At 54.6% G+C, this 15,471-nt stretch overlaps 1 protein-coding gene across 3 annotated transcripts in view, besides 6 other annotated features; it reads left to right on the top strand.

The window, feature by feature from the left end:
* The window catches only part of ELL (elongation factor for RNA polymerase II), a 79,408-nt gene that overhangs the window by 33,344 nt on the left and 30,593 nt on the right, over window positions 1–15,471 (top strand). The window contains exons 1-2 of one of the 3 annotated variants that reach the window (XM_047439479.1): window positions 2,166–11,568; window positions 12,794–12,913. The exons of 1 other annotated variant lie outside the window; for it this stretch is intronic. The gene's annotated coding sequence lies outside the window, so the exon portion shown is untranslated. Of the gene's footprint in view, window positions 1–2,165; window positions 11,569–12,793; window positions 12,914–15,471 lie in introns of those variants that run through there. One more of the 3 variants, XM_017027335.2, reaches the window with a different exon arrangement.
* Window positions 2,675–3,260: an enhancer, noted in NCBI's record as "H3K4me1 hESC enhancer chr19:18596277-18596862 (GRCh37/hg19 assembly coordinates)". NCBI's record gives its function as "activates a minimal SCP1, AML or CMV promoter by ChIP-STARR-seq in naive H9 embryonic stem cells {active_cell/tissue: H9 hESC(naive)}" and the evidence as "EXISTENCE:reporter gene assay evidence [ECO:0000049][PMID:30033119]".
* Window positions 4,108–4,608: an enhancer, noted in NCBI's record as "H3K27ac hESC enhancer chr19:18594929-18595429 (GRCh37/hg19 assembly coordinates)". NCBI's record gives its function as "activates a minimal SCP1, AML or CMV promoter by ChIP-STARR-seq in naive H9 embryonic stem cells {active_cell/tissue: H9 hESC(naive)}" and the evidence as "EXISTENCE:reporter gene assay evidence [ECO:0000049][PMID:30033119]".
* Window positions 4,609–5,109: an enhancer, noted in NCBI's record as "H3K27ac hESC enhancer chr19:18594428-18594928 (GRCh37/hg19 assembly coordinates)". NCBI's record gives its function as "activates a minimal SCP1, AML or CMV promoter by ChIP-STARR-seq in primed H9 embryonic stem cells {active_cell/tissue: H9 hESC(primed)}" and the evidence as "EXISTENCE:reporter gene assay evidence [ECO:0000049][PMID:30033119]".
* Window positions 9,271–10,173: an enhancer, noted in NCBI's record as "H3K27ac-H3K4me1 hESC enhancer chr19:18589364-18590266 (GRCh37/hg19 assembly coordinates)". NCBI's record gives its function as "activates a minimal SCP1, AML or CMV promoter by ChIP-STARR-seq in naive and primed H9 embryonic stem cells {active_cell/tissue: H9 hESC(naive and primed)}" and the evidence as "EXISTENCE:reporter gene assay evidence [ECO:0000049][PMID:30033119]".
* Window positions 9,788–9,857: an enhancer, noted in NCBI's record as "active region_14322". NCBI's record gives its function as "activates an Ori minimal core promoter by ATAC-STARR-seq in GM12878 lymphoblastoid cells {active_cell/tissue: GM12878}" and the evidence as "EXISTENCE:reporter gene assay evidence [ECO:0000049][PMID:35858748]".
* Window positions 11,429–12,256: an enhancer, noted in NCBI's record as "H3K4me1 hESC enhancer chr19:18587281-18588108 (GRCh37/hg19 assembly coordinates)". NCBI's record gives its function as "activates a minimal SCP1, AML or CMV promoter by ChIP-STARR-seq in primed H9 embryonic stem cells {active_cell/tissue: H9 hESC(primed)}" and the evidence as "EXISTENCE:reporter gene assay evidence [ECO:0000049][PMID:30033119]".

The raw sequence follows: 15,471 nt of genomic DNA, 5'->3' as shown, positions 1-15,471 counted from the left end.
CCCCCAAGATGCGCAGCCCTGTCCATAGAAGGTCCCTGTGATCAGGCTTTCCTTTGCTTGAAGTTGGCCCTCAAGATGCACAGCCCGGTCCATAGAAGGTCCCTGCGATCAGACTTTTGAGGGTGTGTGGGCGCTGAGCACCTGGCAGAGCATGTTCTGTTCTAGCCCCCGCCCCGTGGATGCTGGGAGCATGCAGCCCCTCCCTAGAGCCCTGGATCCTGAGCCCCAGGGCCTCCTGGGTACTCTGAGGTTTGGGGACTTGCCCTGGGCCAGCCCTGGCCAGCACATGCCCTGCTGGTCACAGGCTGCCTCTGCAGCTCCTATCCAGCTTGGCAGTGCCACGTGCTTCCTGCTGTGTGGTCTCCTTTTGGCTCTGTGGGAGCTGTGCTCTGGGTTCTATGCTGCTGGTGGGGAGGAGTCCAGTTTGGTGACATTTCTTGTCAGGCCGTTTGCTCTGAAGGACGGGCATCTTTCTGGGAAGAAGTCAGTTGGCGGATCTTGGTGTACGCTTACCCACGACCTAACCCAATAACAGGGCCGATCCTTTTGTGAGATAAGACCCAGGTGGAGAGGCGGGCTGGGACCTACCTCTCTCCCTGCTCACCTGCCGGGTGCCTTCAGGCATGTTTCTCAGGATGGGCCCACCAGGTGAGGATGTCCACACCATACCACACTGCTGAGGTTATTACTGGGCAGAGACCACGGTGGACACTTGCCAGCCTGGTTGTGGCCAGAGTGAGGTGGGGCCGGCAGGCACAGGGCTCCTGTCAGGGTAGGTTGGAGTCTGGTGGCTGGGACCACAGCTGGATGGGGCAGAGCAGGCCCTGCCAGCCAGGTTCTGAGCACAGCTCCTGAGTGTTCGGATTCTGAAAGTACAGATTGTACCGGGAAGGCTCTACTTTGTTTTTCTGGGTAATAGAAGATCCCGTTGTTCCGAAGGTAAGCACCTGGGCCTGTTAGAAGCCATGTGCTCAACTTTCAGGAGGATGAGGATCTGAAGGGACTGATTCATTCTCTCCAGAGGAACAACTTGGTGCTGTTGGTGATGAACCTGAGCATCAGGCAGCTGCACGGGTCCTCGTCCCAGAGATGTTCCTCAGTGGAAGATGCAGGCAGTGCTTATCTGGCCTGGGGCCTCCCTGAGGGGCTAGTGCAGCCTGGCCGTGGCCACATCAGGTTCTGTCTCTAAAGTTAAAAGTGGGCTGGTTTCATGCAGCTGCCTCTGTCAGACCCAGCAAGGTGGAGGATTTTCCTGAGACAGCACATTCAGGGATCTGTGCGCATCCTAAGCACTCAAGGTGGTTTATGGCCATGCTGAGGGCAACTGTCCCCCAAACCCAGCTGCTCCTCAAGCACGAAGGAAGACTGGGGCCTGGCTCTCGTGGCACCTCCTTGATGCCCACCTCAGGACACATATGTAACGCTTGCTCTGTCCTCACTGGGCCTGCCCATTTGAGGGGTGACCCTACTCTCTGGGGTGGTTGGATTGTCCAGATGTTCCCAGAAGCCTCTGGAGCCCTCAATGGGTTTTTATGGGGAATGCCAGCCCATATGGGCAATGGCTCAGAAGCAGTTACTCCTTTCTCAGGGGGTCTCCTGGTGGGGGGTAGCGGGGTCTGAGCAGCAGGGTCTACACGCACAGGGCCTTCTTTGTGTTCCTGAGTGATTAGGATTTACCCACTGCGTGGTGGTGGAAGCATCGGAGGTGTCAGCATGGCATGTAGCTGACGGTGGAGGCCAGCATCTTGGAAGGCTTTGGTTGGCTGCAGAGGCGCATGTGGGTGAGGTGGCAGGCAGGACCCGATGCCAACCTTTGTGGCTGGCAAGGTCACATCCCTGAGGTCCAGATGTGGCAGCTCCCAGGTTGCAGGTTCAAACTGGGAAGGGGACCTAAGAGCACCCTTGCAGTGAGTACTGGCTGGGGACCACGGGTCATGCCTTGAAGGGTGCCAGATTCTCTTGGCATCCTCTTATTTTTCTGTGATCTTTGCCTATCTTCTGGGACAGGGGTTTGGGTGCTTTGCAGAGGTTGCAGTGAGCAGACAATGAGATGAGGCGGTAAGAGCCGAGTCCGGTGCGGAGCTGTGAATCATCCAGGCGGCTGACGTGACACAGGGGCCCCGTGAAAGGGCGTGGTTTCTGCTTCAGAGACAGGCTCCCTTCTCAGAACCGCCTGGGTCTCTGAGGGCCTCAGGGGCAGCCTTGGTGAGTGTGGCCGACCACCGGAGGAGGAAGGACGGTCCTCCTGGGTCCTGAGTGTGTGCCTTGGTAGCTTGGCAAGCTGCCATCTCCTTCTGACCTGGGTCACATCCACAGTGGACACTCCCAGGACCGCACCCCCACTCTGGGTCACAGAGTACATCTTGGGTGGGTCTGTTGTACATAGACTGTTAGAAACGGGGCAGAGTGGCCTGAGGACGAGGTGCTCAGCAGCCTCTCTCTTCCTGCCCCTGTTGAGCCAGTGCCTGACACTGACCGCCCTTGGGGCCCTGAGCTAAGCTTCACACAGAAGCCCCTCCCCAGATTCCTTCCCAGGTTGCAGGGCTCCCACCCGAGGTGGAGCCCCCTCTGCAGGGCAGCCTGGGGGTGTTTGTGCTGTGGGGCTTGTTGCTTCCTGCCAAGGTCAGCAGGGGGTGGCTGTGCTCTCAGGGAGAAACAGTGGCTGAGGGGCTTCGTGATGCATCCAGGAGAGTGCCTTAACTGTTTTCATCCCCGTAGCTTGCTTTCTTTTTTTTTTTTTTGAGACAGAGTCTCGCTCTGTCGCCCAGGCTGGAGTGCAGTGGTGTGATCTTGGCTCACTGCCACCTCTGCCTCCTGGGTTCAAGCAATTCTCCTGCCTCAGCCTCCCAAATAGCTGGGACTATAGGCGTGTGCTACCACGCCCGGCTAATTTTTTGTATTTTTAGTAGAGATGGGGTTTCACCGTGTTAACCAGGATGGTCTCAATCTCCTGACCTCGTGATCCGCTCGTCTTGGCTCTCAAAGTGCTGGGATTACAGGTGTGAGCCACCGCGCCCGGCCCATCCCCGTAGCTTTCCCAGTGACTGTGAATGTGGCACGAATTTGGGCAAGGGATACCCTCTGCCTCCAACCACCAGGCCTCATGGGGCACCCTGGGCTGGGCCTGAATCTCGCCTCTAAGATGAGCCTTAGAGTTGGGGGCCAGACCTGGTCTCCCTGGTCTCCCTGGTCTCCCTGGCCCTGGGAGGAGATGGGCTCCCATAGTGGAGTGTTAGCTGTTTTCAGGGGAGAGGTGGAGGCAGCTGGAAAGCTTGGGTGCACTGGGGCTCGGCAGAAGGGGCCAGTCTGCTCTGTGGTGAGGCTGAGGACGGGTGGCCTTGGGAGTGTGGCAGAGAGGAGGCGCTCTAATAGCAGTTGAGCTTGGAAGGCCCAAAAGTGAGGTGGCCCTACAGACTGACAGGTCGAAGGCACACACATGGCCTTGTCTGCAGGGGAGTTGAGATGGAGGCCTGGAGGGGCCTCCTGGGGAGAGGAGAGCCCATGGGCCGCTTCTGCTGGGCTCCAAATAGTCCCATGGAGGTGAATGGGGTTTGGGACCTCCTAGCTGCCTGAGCAGGAAGCACAGTGGCAAGGCAGAGCTGCATTCTCAGGGACCCAACCCCCACAGAGGCCTGGCCTGGGCTCTGATGAGGGGATGGCCCATGTCAGGCCCTAGAGCGTTCTCATTCACCTCAGAAACGTCAGGAACCCAGGGCTAGGAGAGGCCCATGCTGTGCCCTGGAGGACCCCAGTGACCTAGGTCAGTCCCTTAGCTTCTTCCATTGTCAGATGTGATCAGATCATGGTCACTGTTGTCTGGGGGAAAGCAGTTGTTATCTGGCACCGCAGACCATGGGCAGAAGGCAGGTTTGGTGAGAGGGCAGTTTCTCGAAGGCCTTCCGTTCAAAATTCCTAGGTCCAGTACCTGTTGTTGGTGAGTTTTAGTGAATGATTAAAAAGAAAAACAAAACCCCACCAAACTCTTGCACTCCTCTTGAGGAGCACAGGTGGAGGCAAAAGAGCATTGGTTGTGAAGCCTCATGTGCTTCCTTGCCGGTTTTGTTATGTTTTGTTTTGTTTTGTTCTAAAGACAGTATCTCTCTCTGTCACCCCTGCCGGAGTGCAGTGGTGGAACCATGGCTCACTGCAGCCTCGATCGCCTGTGCTTAGGTGATCCTTCTGCCTCAGCACCTGAGTAGCTGGGACTGCAGGTGCGCATTACCACACCTGGCTAATTTTTAAATTTTTTATTTTTCTTTCTTGAGACTGAGTCTCACTCTGTTGCCCAGGCTGGAGTGCAGTGGTATGATCTTGGCTCACTGCAACCTCCCCCTCCCAGGTTCAAGCGATTTTCTTGCCTCAGCCTCCCGGGTAGCTGGAATTTCAGGCACCTGCCACCACGCCTGGCCAAAGTTTGTGTTTTTAGTAGAGATGGGGGTTTCACCACGTTGGCCAGGCTGGTCTCGAACTCTTGACTTCAAGTGATCCACCCACCTCGGCTTCCCAAAGTGCTGGGATTACAGGCGTGAGCCACCACAGCGTCTGGCTGCCAAACGGGATTCTGTGCCCATCACACTGGCACTTGCAGATTTGCTCTGTTTCAGACACTGCAGAGTGCGCTAGAGGGGACAGAGGGGCCTGACACTGTGGCCCAGGTGCCCATGGAGTGTACTTGTGCAGCAGGTGCCCACATACGACAGCGTCTTTCCCTGTTTGAAGAAAGGCAGATGCAAAAGGTGGAATAATAAGGGGGAAAGGCAAAGTTAAGGTGTTGGCAGGAGGGCTTGTGCCAGGCATGGGTTGCATGGCTCTGAGATGCACTGTCCTGGAAGCAGGCCTGGGCCATGCCTGGAGATTGACCCATGGAGGTGCAGGCAGGGTGGGCAGGGCAGGCAGGGTGCTTGTCCCTCCCTTGGAGGGAGACTTCTGTCTGTCTGATGAAGCAGGGCTCAGGGACATAGAAGCACTGTAACTTGAAGAATTGTGTAGTAAATGTTTGTCATATCCTGCTACCCTGGGATCATGTGAGGTTGGATAAGTTGTGAAATCTTCATGGGGACCCCAGGGCTCAGTTTTCCTGTGAGGTTGGGATGAGGTCTGCTGTGACCTCGGGCAGCCCTGTCCTCTCTCAGTACCTCATTTTCCTCAGTTGTAACAACCGGAACCCGATCCCATGCAGTTTAGGATGAGAGTGGGTTAGTGATGGAGGCTGGCCGTCTGTGGTACCACGAGTCCTTGCGTGTGATTTGGCTGTGATTTCTACGGACAGGGAGTCCAAGCAGCTCCCCCACCCCCAGCTATGACGCAGGAATGGACAGACATCTGAGGGGCTTCCCATGAGACACAGGCCACTTTCTGCTCACCTGCTGAGCGCCTTCTGGAAGAAGGACCTGGATAGTGTCCAAAAACCCTGCACTGCAACTGCCAGGTGGGCGGTGGCATCCGGGGAATATCCAGGGAGCATCTGTGGTCATGACCCAGGGTGCATGCAGACAAAGGAATCTGAGAGACCCTTCACTGGGGGCTGTGGCAGCCACGGGTGTAGGCAGGAGTTACCCAGAGCTGCTAGTTTGGGAGGGGAGAGGGGAGTTGGTAAAGAATGGCAGTTTGGAGGATTTTCCTAAAATAGAGCTATTTAAAAAAAAGATGGGAGTGTGATGGCTCACGCTTATAATCCCAGCACTTTGAGAAGTTGAGGTGAGAGGATCGCTTGAGCCCAGGAGTTTGAGACCAGCCTGGGCAACACAGGGAGACCCCCACCTCTACAAAAGAGTTAAAAAAACAACGTAGCTGGGCATGGTGGCACAGCTGCTTGGGGATAAGGTGGGAGGATTCTTGAGCCCAGGAGACTGTGGCTGCAGTGAGCTGTGATAGTGCCACTGCCCACTGCCTGGGCAACAGAGTGAGGCCCTGTCTCAAAACAACAGCAGCAACAACAACAACAACAACAACAACAACAACAAAAACCAAAAAGATGGGAGGAACTAAGACACAAAATCAAGACCCACCCATAAAAGAAAAAAATTGAAAAATTCCACTCCATCAAAATTAAGAACTTCTGTATTTTGAGAGATACTGTTAAGAGAATGGAAAGGCAGTCCAGGCGCAGTGGCTCACGCCTGTAATCCCAGCATTTTGGGAGGCCGAAATCACTTGAGGTCAGGAGTTTGAGATCAGCCTGGCCAACATGGTGAAAACCCGTCTCGACTAAAAATACAAAAAAATAAGCTGGGTGTGGTAGTACGCACCTGTAGTCCCAGCTACTTGGGAGGCAGAGGCAGAGGCAGAGGCAGAGGCAGGAGAATTGCTTCAACCCAGGAGGCGGAGGTTGCAGTGAGCTGAGATCACACCACTGCACTTCAGCCTAGGTGACAGGGCGAGACCCTGTTTAAAAAAAAAAAAAAAAAAAAAAAAAAAAGGAATGAAAAGACAAGCCATGGACTAGGAGTAAAATGTAAAATTTATCTGATAAAGCTCTTGTATATAAAAAAAAAAACCTCAAAACTTAGTAAGAAAATGACCCAATTTTTAAAAATGGGATAAAGATTTGTACAGCTTCACCACTGAAGCTAGAAGAATGGCACATTAGCCTGTAAAAAGATGCTCAACATGCTTAATCAGCAGGGAAACCCAAACATGAACCTCCACGAGCTGTCACTGCACCACACACCTACCAGAATGGCTGACATTTTAAATAAGCTGACAGCACTAAATGTTGACGTGGATGGGGAGCAACAGGAACTCTCATTCGCTGCCGGCGGCAGTACAAAATGGTACAGCAACTTTGGGAGCCAGCCTGGCAGTTTCATATTAAATTAAATGTACACCTACTCTGTAACCCAGCAGTCGGGCTCCTGGGTGTTCACCAAGTGAAATGAAAACACGTCCACAGAAAAACCTGTCCATGAGTATTTATAGCTGCTTGATTCATTAATTCTCCAGACTGGAAACAACCTGTGTCCTTCATCCAGCAAATGGATGCACGGGAAGGTGGCGTATTTATACTGCGGGGCAACACACAGGATGGATCTCAAAGGCGTCATGCTGAGTAGGTGGTTGGCTGAATCATGGCCACAGCAGATTCCAGGAACCTGTGAGTGTAACCTTCTGTGGAAAAAGGGACTTTGCAGATGAGATTAGGTTAAGGATCTTGAGATGGGGAGGTTACCCTGCATTATCTGGGTGGTCCCTGTTTGTCATCACAAGTGTCCTCGTAAGAGAGGGACAGATTTAATGTAGACAGAAGAGGACTTGAAGGCTGCATGACCCCAGTGGGCAGAGATTAGGGTGATGCAGCCACAAGCCAGGGAGTGCCTGAGCCTGCAGCAGGTGAAGAGGCCAGGAAAGGTCCTCCCCTAGAGCCCCCAAAAGGAGGGAGCCTGCTAACACTTGGATTTCAGACTTCTGGCCCCCAGTCCGTGAGAGAACCAGTTTCCATTGTTTTAAGCCACAAGTTTATGCTCAGTTGTTGCAAGGACCACGGGAAACTCATCTTATGTGATTCCATTGATAAGACTTTCTGGAAAGGCAAAACCATAGGGACAAAAAAACAGATCCAGGATTGCTGAGGGTGCGGGGAGGGTCAGTCTCCAAGTGGGGATGCAGGAAATTGGGCAGAAAGGAAGGTGGCCTGCTCAGCGTGCTGTCCTGGGAAAAGCAAGCAAGGTGCGTGGAGCGTGTAGAGGCCACAGTTTTGGGCAATCTGCATATTTTTGTCTACAAGATTTCTGAAAAACCCTTTTCCATAAGCTTTCTATGCACCTTCGTGAATGCAGATAGAAATATCTGCTGCGGGCTGGGTGCGGTGGCTCACACCTGTAATCCTGGCACTTTGGGAGGCTGAGTCTGTCGAGTTGCTTGAACCTAGGAGTTCAAGTCCAGCCTGGGCAACATGGCAAAACCCTATCTCTACAGAAAATAGAAAAATTAGCCAGGTGTGTTGGTGTGTGCCTGTGGTCCCAGCTACTCGGGAGCTGAGGCAGGAGGATCACCTGAGCCTAGAAGGTCGAAGCTGCAGTGAGCCGTGTTCACACCACCGCACTCCAGCCTGGGTGACAGAGTGAGAGCTTATCTCCAAAAAGAAAGAAAGAAAAAAAATACTTGCTATGCCGGCCACTGAATTACACTTGGCTTGTAGCCAGTTGGAGTCCCTTTCCTGCTCTTACAGGCCCACCTGGCCTGCTGAACACACCATCTGTCCTCCCAGGCTGGCAGAGGAGCTGCCGTGGGTCCTGCCCTCTGCTCTGCCCTGACCGTGGCCACCTGGTTCCCTAGGCTGGAACCAGTGAGGTCCACAATGTGTCTGTCCAAGTTCCCTAGCTCGTCCCTGAGCCAACCAAGCTCACTGGGCAGATCTTCCTTTGTTTTGTAGTTCACGGAGACAGCCCCACTCAGTCACTGTCTAAACTCTCCGTGGCCTCAATGTCCTGCTCCAGTCCTGCCAGGAAGTCTCAAGGAGGATTCCTGAATAGCGTTTCCCAATCATTTGTGCTTTACTGGAAAGGGGGGGCCTGTTGTGGGGAGGCCACCGTCCAGGGCTCTTCCCGGGACTTCACCTTCCCTCTGCTGGACCACACGCCGTGGCTTGGCAGGGTGACCCAGCTCTGTAAGATCAGGACGTGTGTGCTGACACTGGTGCTTGGGAGAGTCAGCAAGATGGACTTCTGAAGAAGGAACAGATGCATTCCTTTCTGTCATTTCCTGCATCAGGGGTGGGGTGGCAGGCCTTGCCCAGTAGACAGCAGGGAGAACGTGCTGCCTGGGGAGAGTGGGCACTTCTGCTGAGTGGGTGCTTCTGGAGGGTGGTGGGAAGGATCATGTGTCTTTGGGGCAGCCTTGGCACCTGCTGCCTTGGGCCTCATTGTCCCCAGGCTGGTAGCAGGTATCCTGGGACCTGGCCAGATTGGGCCCCGTCCATCTGTCTGTGTGTCTCATCTCTTCACTGTGCCCTCTCCCTAGTTTCTGTCTTTGCTGGAGAGTTTTTAAAACAATCCTAGATTTTTTTTTTTTTTTTTTTTTGAGATGGAGTCTCACTCTGTCGTGCAGGCTGGAGTGCAGTGGCTTGATCTCAGCTCACTGCAACCTCCGCCTACCGGGTTCAAGCAGTTCTCCTGCCTCAGGCTCCCGAGTAGCTAGGATTATAGGCGTATGCCACCATGCCTGGCTAATTTTTGTATTTTTAGTAGAGATGGAGTTTCACCATGTTGGTCAGGCTGGTCTTGAACTCCTGACCTCAAGCAGTCCACCTGCCTCAGCCTCCCAAAATGCTGGGATTACAGGTGTGAGGTACCATGCCTGGCCAACAATCAGATACGTTCTTCTTCACCCGTAACTTTTCCATTTATATTTTATATTTGTTGAAGGGAGCAGGTCTTTTTTCCCATAGATTTTTCTGCTTTCTGCTCTGATGGTCGCTTCCCGTGGCAGGGTCAGCCCAGGGCTTCTCAGCCCCTGCACTGCTTGACATTTGGGGCAGGAGGTTCTGTGTTGCCTGCAGTGTGCTGAGCAGCATCCCTGGCCTCCCCCGAGCCAGATGGTGGGGACTGTCCCCGCCCTCAGTGGTGAGGACCAGAAATGGCTCCAGACATTGCCTCGTGCCCTGGGGAAGATTCACCCACCACACTTCCTGTAAACTGGTCACTCGGCCTGGAGGTGGATTTCGTAAGCCACTTCCTGTTGCTTCATCCCCGGAAGTGCTCTTTGCCGGAGGGGAGAGGATCAGGGGATTCTGGCCCTGGAGAGGTTCCTCCTCACCCTTTCCTCTGTCTCAGCATTGAGGACTCTCACTGCCTCCCAGGCTCTGCACCCTCGACCCTTTTCCCAAAGGCATTGCTGTCTTTACAGGAGTGTCCTCATTGAGGGGGAGCTGCCTACAGGAGTCTCCCAGTCTGTGTTCAGTAGCCCCAGTGGGCGCCCAGGCCAAGTGACCGCAGGGCGCAGGCATCACTGCCCTGCTGTGTTGAGGTCTGTTCTCCGAGTCAGGGTCTGAAGTCCAGTTGGGTCTGGGGAGCACCAGCCTCGGCACAGCTCAGTGCCTGCCTGTCCGGCCTTGAAGACCCAGCTGACCTGCTGACTGTGTCAGGCCAGCTGTGGCGGCCCTACCAGGCTCCCCAGCTCCCACCTGGGGCCCTGGCCTGAAGTACAGCAGCGGGGGTGACTTTGTATCTCAGGAGCTCCCAGTTCCATACCTCATGCTGGGTAATGAAAGTTGGATTTTTGCCACTCGAGGGCCTGAGAGGACTTGTGGGGGTGATGACCCCTCAGAGGGTCTACAGAGACTGGGCAGGCGGTGGCCTGAGGCATGGCTCTCCCCTGCTGGGTGTTCTTGGGTGTGAGATGGGCAGTACCCTGCAGGTGTCATGTGCTACTGAGTTACCCCGTTATTTAATTAATGCAGCCTGAGGCCAACCCCAAAGCTTCTAAGGCAGCAGGGAAATCACCTGTGCTACAGTCTGTTCCTGACCCTCTGTCCTGCTTCATAGATGAGGTAACGAGGCGCTTGGCCCCCCTGACAAGGGTTCGGCCATGACACCACGCATGTTGGCTCTGGAGGGAGCAGCCAGAAGAGGGTGTGGTGGGCCACATGCTGTCAGGCGTCCCCACCAGGCCAGGCTGGTGAGCACAGAGGGTGACAGCTGGTCCCACCGTGAAGGGACCTAGCTGGCTCTGCCTGTCTGCAGCCGACACTCACCTCCTGGGCCCTTGATTGGCTTGTCAGGGCACTGCACCCCAGCTGCTTTCTGTGTTTTTTCTCATCCCCCCCACCCAGTCCTTGTGTTCTCATCACCATCTATTTAGCACCCCACATTCAAAACCCCAGCCTCACTACCGTAATTTATGCCTTGAATGATCTTTTGCAGAAACATCATAAGAAAAAAGCCTTTTCTATTCATGCATGCTCACTGTGCCCGCGTCATCCTCTGCAAATCCATAGGTCCATTTAGGGTCACTCTCCCTCCTTCTGAAGAACTTCTAGAACCTTCCTCACAGTGCAGGCCAGATGCTGACAGAAGATTCTCTCAGCATTTGTTTGAGCGAATCTTTATTTCCCTTTCTCTTTTCACTGGGCATGGAATTGTGGTCTGGCGGTGTTTCTCCCTCAGCACTTTGAAGATGCCCTCCCAGTGTCGGGGCTGGCTCCTGATGTGCAGTGTCGGCACCTCGGCACTTGGGGCGACTGTTGTGGCTGTGCTGATTTGCTCATGATGCGCCACGACCTGGTAGTTTTCCTGCTGGGGGTTGACAAGGCTTCTTGGGTCTGTGGATTTATAGCATTTGTTACATTTGGGAATCTCTGGCCACTCTTTTCTCAGATCCCCCGCCTGCCCTCAGGACTCCAGTTACTTGCACGTGGGATCCCCTGCTGTCGTCCGCAGGTCACCGAGGTGGTGTTCGTTTCCTGTAGGCTTCTTACTGTGGGATTCATCTAGGTGGCTCCTGTGGCTTTGTCTTCAAGTTCGCTGCCCTTTTCTTCTGTGGTGCCTGCTGTGACTTCCACCTAGTGGCCGTTTCATTCCGATCCTCCGTGTCTCAGCTCCAGAAGCCCCTCGTGGCTCTCTCACGATACCCGTACGTCTTCCTCTTCAGCTGTTTTCCTTTAGGCTTGGAGCATTCCAAGTTCACAGTAGCTGTCCCAAAGCCCCTGTCTGTTCAGTCGGCATCTCTGTGCTTCCCACGTCTTTGTGCCGACTCATTTTCCCCCTGGCTTAGGAGTCTCGTTTTCCTGCTGCTTCACGTGTCTGTAGGGTTCTGCTTATAGATACCACATGGCGTTCTTATGAGGTGGGTCCCTGCCCGATGGTCCGCACAGGGCTGGCCATGATTTAGACGGGAGTTAGCCTTAGTGCCCGTGTCTGTTAATGGCTGGGTGCGTCCTGTGTCTGTCACCCTCATGCGTGCGTGATGTTAGGAGTGAATTGCTCTGTTGTTAACAAGGGCCTGGTCTCCTGCTGGAGGGTGGGGATACAGTGTGAGCCAGAGTGGCTGGGAGCCTGGCCATGATGACGGCCACCTCTCATGGGGACAGGCACTTGAGGTTAGCCCTCCTGGCATCATAGAGAAAGGCTGGCTCTGTGGCCCCTCAGCCCTTCTCCTCTGAGGCATGAAGTCTTGTTCTCCATACCCTTGGGGGATAAGCGACTTGGCAAGAAAGGAGTCTTGAAGGTGACCCACCTGACAGTCAGCTACCAGAACCTGGTTAAATGCCTCACTGGATGGCGTGGCCCACAGGGAGCATGGAGCCACGGGGTGGGTGGGAGGGCCAGTGTGTTCAAGGCCTGTCACCCTCAGCCTTGCACAGCTGGGGCTGCCCTGGCACAGTTCCTTGGGGGGGTTGTGCACCCTAACTGGTTCCTGTCCCTTGTCACCCTAACTGGCCTCAGCATCATCACTGTTTTCTGAGCCCTCATCCCTGGCTCACAGCTGCACATGCAGAGGCCTCGCATGGACAGTAGACAGGGTGCTTGTGTTAGCCCCGGGCCGACCCCTCTGCAGAGGTTTGCACCGCGAGAGACGGGGCCCACCTGCTCTCTGCAGCTGCTGCACTGAGTTCCTGCTCCAGTCCCCTGCTGCTCCCTCCTCCAGAATACCCTTCCCACCTGGCCTTGGTCGTGTGCTCCTGGGGCCCATGAGGACTGGTGCCATGAGTTTGTGGGGGCTCCCTGAGTGGGGTGGGCTGGGCCATTCTGCCTTGGTGCTTCCTTTGCTCCGTGTGGTTCTTGTGTCTTACGCCAGTTCCCTTTCACTCGTGCATTGAAAATGGTTAACGGACAGGACTCTCCTCCGTCTGTTCCAGAACTCGCCGTGTGTGTGTCAGAGAATGTTGCTCCTGTGCCCTGAGTCAACAAAGACGGCCCCTGTGAGCTCAAGGGCAGTTGGGAAGGTGTAGCGAACATCCTGTAAAACGTCCCATCTTGTGAGTTTTGACCCTCTACCCTCGCCCGGCTGCAGCCACTCCCCACTCCCACCTCCAGCCCTGGACACCTGCTGGTCGGCTTTCTGTCTCTTTGGTTTTGCCTTACCTGGGGATTTATAGAAATGGAGTCATACAGCCTGTGGCATGACGTGCAGCCTTCTTTCACTTGGCATGGTCCTCTGTATTCCATTGTTTGATTCTCTCTCCACCAGTTGACGGACATTTGGGCTACTGCCGCTTTTTGGATTCTCTAAATAATTCTGCTATAAATGTTCAGGTGTAAGTTTTTGTACGGAAGTGTGTTTTTGTGGGTGTATACCCGGGGTGGAATTGCTGGGTGTGTTTAACCCTTTGTTTAACCTTTTAGAAAACTGCCAGGTGGCTTCCACAGTGGCTGAGCCTTGTCCACTCCCGCCCACGACGGCAGAGGTTCTGGGTCCTCGCCAACACTTGCTCTTGTCAGCTTCTTTTAGATTAGCTGCTCTGATGGGTACAGAGCTATCTCAGTGTGGTTATGTTTTTTTTTATTTTTTAAAATATTTTTATGGCTATCAATCTAGGTCACTATGGTTACAGTTTGCATTTCCTTGATGAGTAATGGCATCCGGTGTCTTTTCACACCTTAATTGGTCCCTATAGGTCTCTTTTTCATGTCTGTGTTTAACCAAATTCTTTTTTGTTGCTGTTGTTGAGACAGGATCTCACTCTGTTGCCCAGGCTGGAGTGCAGTGGTGCAATCTCAGCTCACTGCAACCTCCACTTCCTGGGTTGAAGTGATTCTCCTGCCTTGGCCTCCCAAGTAGTTGGGATTACAGGTGCCCACTGCCACGCCCAGCTAATTTTTGTATTTTTAGTACAGATGGGGGTTTCACCATGTTGGCCAGACTGGTCTCGAACTCCTGACGTCAAGTGATCTGCCCACCTCGGCCTCCCAAAGTGCTGGGATTACAGGCGTGAACCACCTGGCCTGTTTAACCAAATTTGTAGCAAAGGTCATTCAGATGCTGCTTCCCCAAGGTCCCAGCCAGGCCGAGGTCCCCTGTTCTCTGCAGTAGCAGCACAGGCTGGTGGTTGAGTCGTGTTTTGGGGTACAGGGCTAGCCCTTCCTGAGCTGCTCTAGACGAGCCCCCCTTGTCGCAGTAGCACAGTGGCCCTTGTGACTGCAGCAGCTGTTTCCTGGTCTTGGAACAGGACAAGGGAGTGGGCCATGGACGTGTTGCACCATGGACAGTGGTGGCTTGCGCCGTGAATCGTGCTCGCTGTGGAGTGGGCCCATGTATTTGTTGAGGGGTGGCGTGTTTGAGAAGCATGGGGCAGTTTCTGGGGCATCACGGCCTGGGTGGTGTTAGCGTGCAGGGGCACCATCCCTCTGTTCTCCCCTAAACAGCAGAATCCTTGGGGAGTCTTGGCAAAATCCTTGGAGAGACTTGGCAAAGAAGGGGGCTCCTGGTAGACCAAAGTGAGGCACTCGGTGCCTCCCACTCTGGGCACTATGCATGTCATATGTATACAGCTGCGTGGTCTAAGCTGGCCAAGCAGACCCATGGCTCAGGGCACACATGGAGCAGGTGCTGAAAGGCCAGCCATCTCTCATGTCCCAGGCGGCTTCCGCTGCTCCTAGCAGCTCCTGTCTTTCCCAACTGATGGGCACTGGATGTGAGCAGTTGGAGGGCCCTGTGCCATCTCAAGCTGGAGTCCTGGAACAGTGCTGAGTGGCTCCAGAGGGCGGACCCTGGGCTGACCCATGGGGTAGGTGTTGTCTCTGATACTGTCGCAGGTGTGGAGCTGCTCCGCTTACCCCGGGTCTTCCGACAGGCCTCTCCAGACTCAAGTAGTGCTTTGCCCTCTGGGGAGAGCTATGGGCAGACCAGGGTGGGAGGGAGTGAGACCTGAGCAGTGGAGACGGAGCCCAGGACGGGGTACTATGAGGACAGGAGCAAGGCCTGGGTGGGAGGGCATCTCAGTGGGCTGGACCTGAGTGGGGCAGTGGGGCCAGGTGGTGCAGGGGTGGGTTTGGGGACCAAGAATCATGGTGATCAGCCAGGGCTATGCTGTGGGGTAGCATCTGGGACACTGAGATCTACGCTTAGGGCCCCAGGTTGGGAAGAGGGAAGAAGATGCAGAGGTGCAGTCCTCCTCTGGCTCGCAGTTCTTTCTCAGATACTGCCAGAAGGCTGGTCTCTGAATAGCTGAAGCGTCAGTATTTATTTTGAGCTCTTTTGTATATTTTTTCCTTGGAAATTCCACTGCTCCAAGCTCAGTGACCAGCTGTCCAGAAGCCATGTGACTGCCCCAAGGCCGTGTGGTGGAGCTGTGCAGGCCTCAGGCTCCCACCCCAGGCTCCAAGGTGGCCCCACCGCACCTGCTCTGATAGACAGTGCTCACCCACCTGGTTGTTAAAAGCCAGTGTTTGTGAGACAGGACTTAGCCTGGTTGGTGGTTTCAGGGGATCAGCTGGGGCTGTGAGAGTGGAGGGGGCTGCTTTTGCCTGTATGGGTCCTTGGGAGAGTCATGATCCAGGGTCAACCCTGACCTGTCTTTGCTTTTTCCTGGCAGGG

Source organism: Homo sapiens, chromosome 19, assembly GCF_000001405.40.
Source record: "Homo sapiens chromosome 19, GRCh38.p14 Primary Assembly".
NCBI lineage: Eukaryota > Metazoa > Chordata > Mammalia > Primates > Hominidae > Homo > Homo sapiens.
This window is presented reverse-complemented; position numbering and strand designations above follow the sequence as displayed.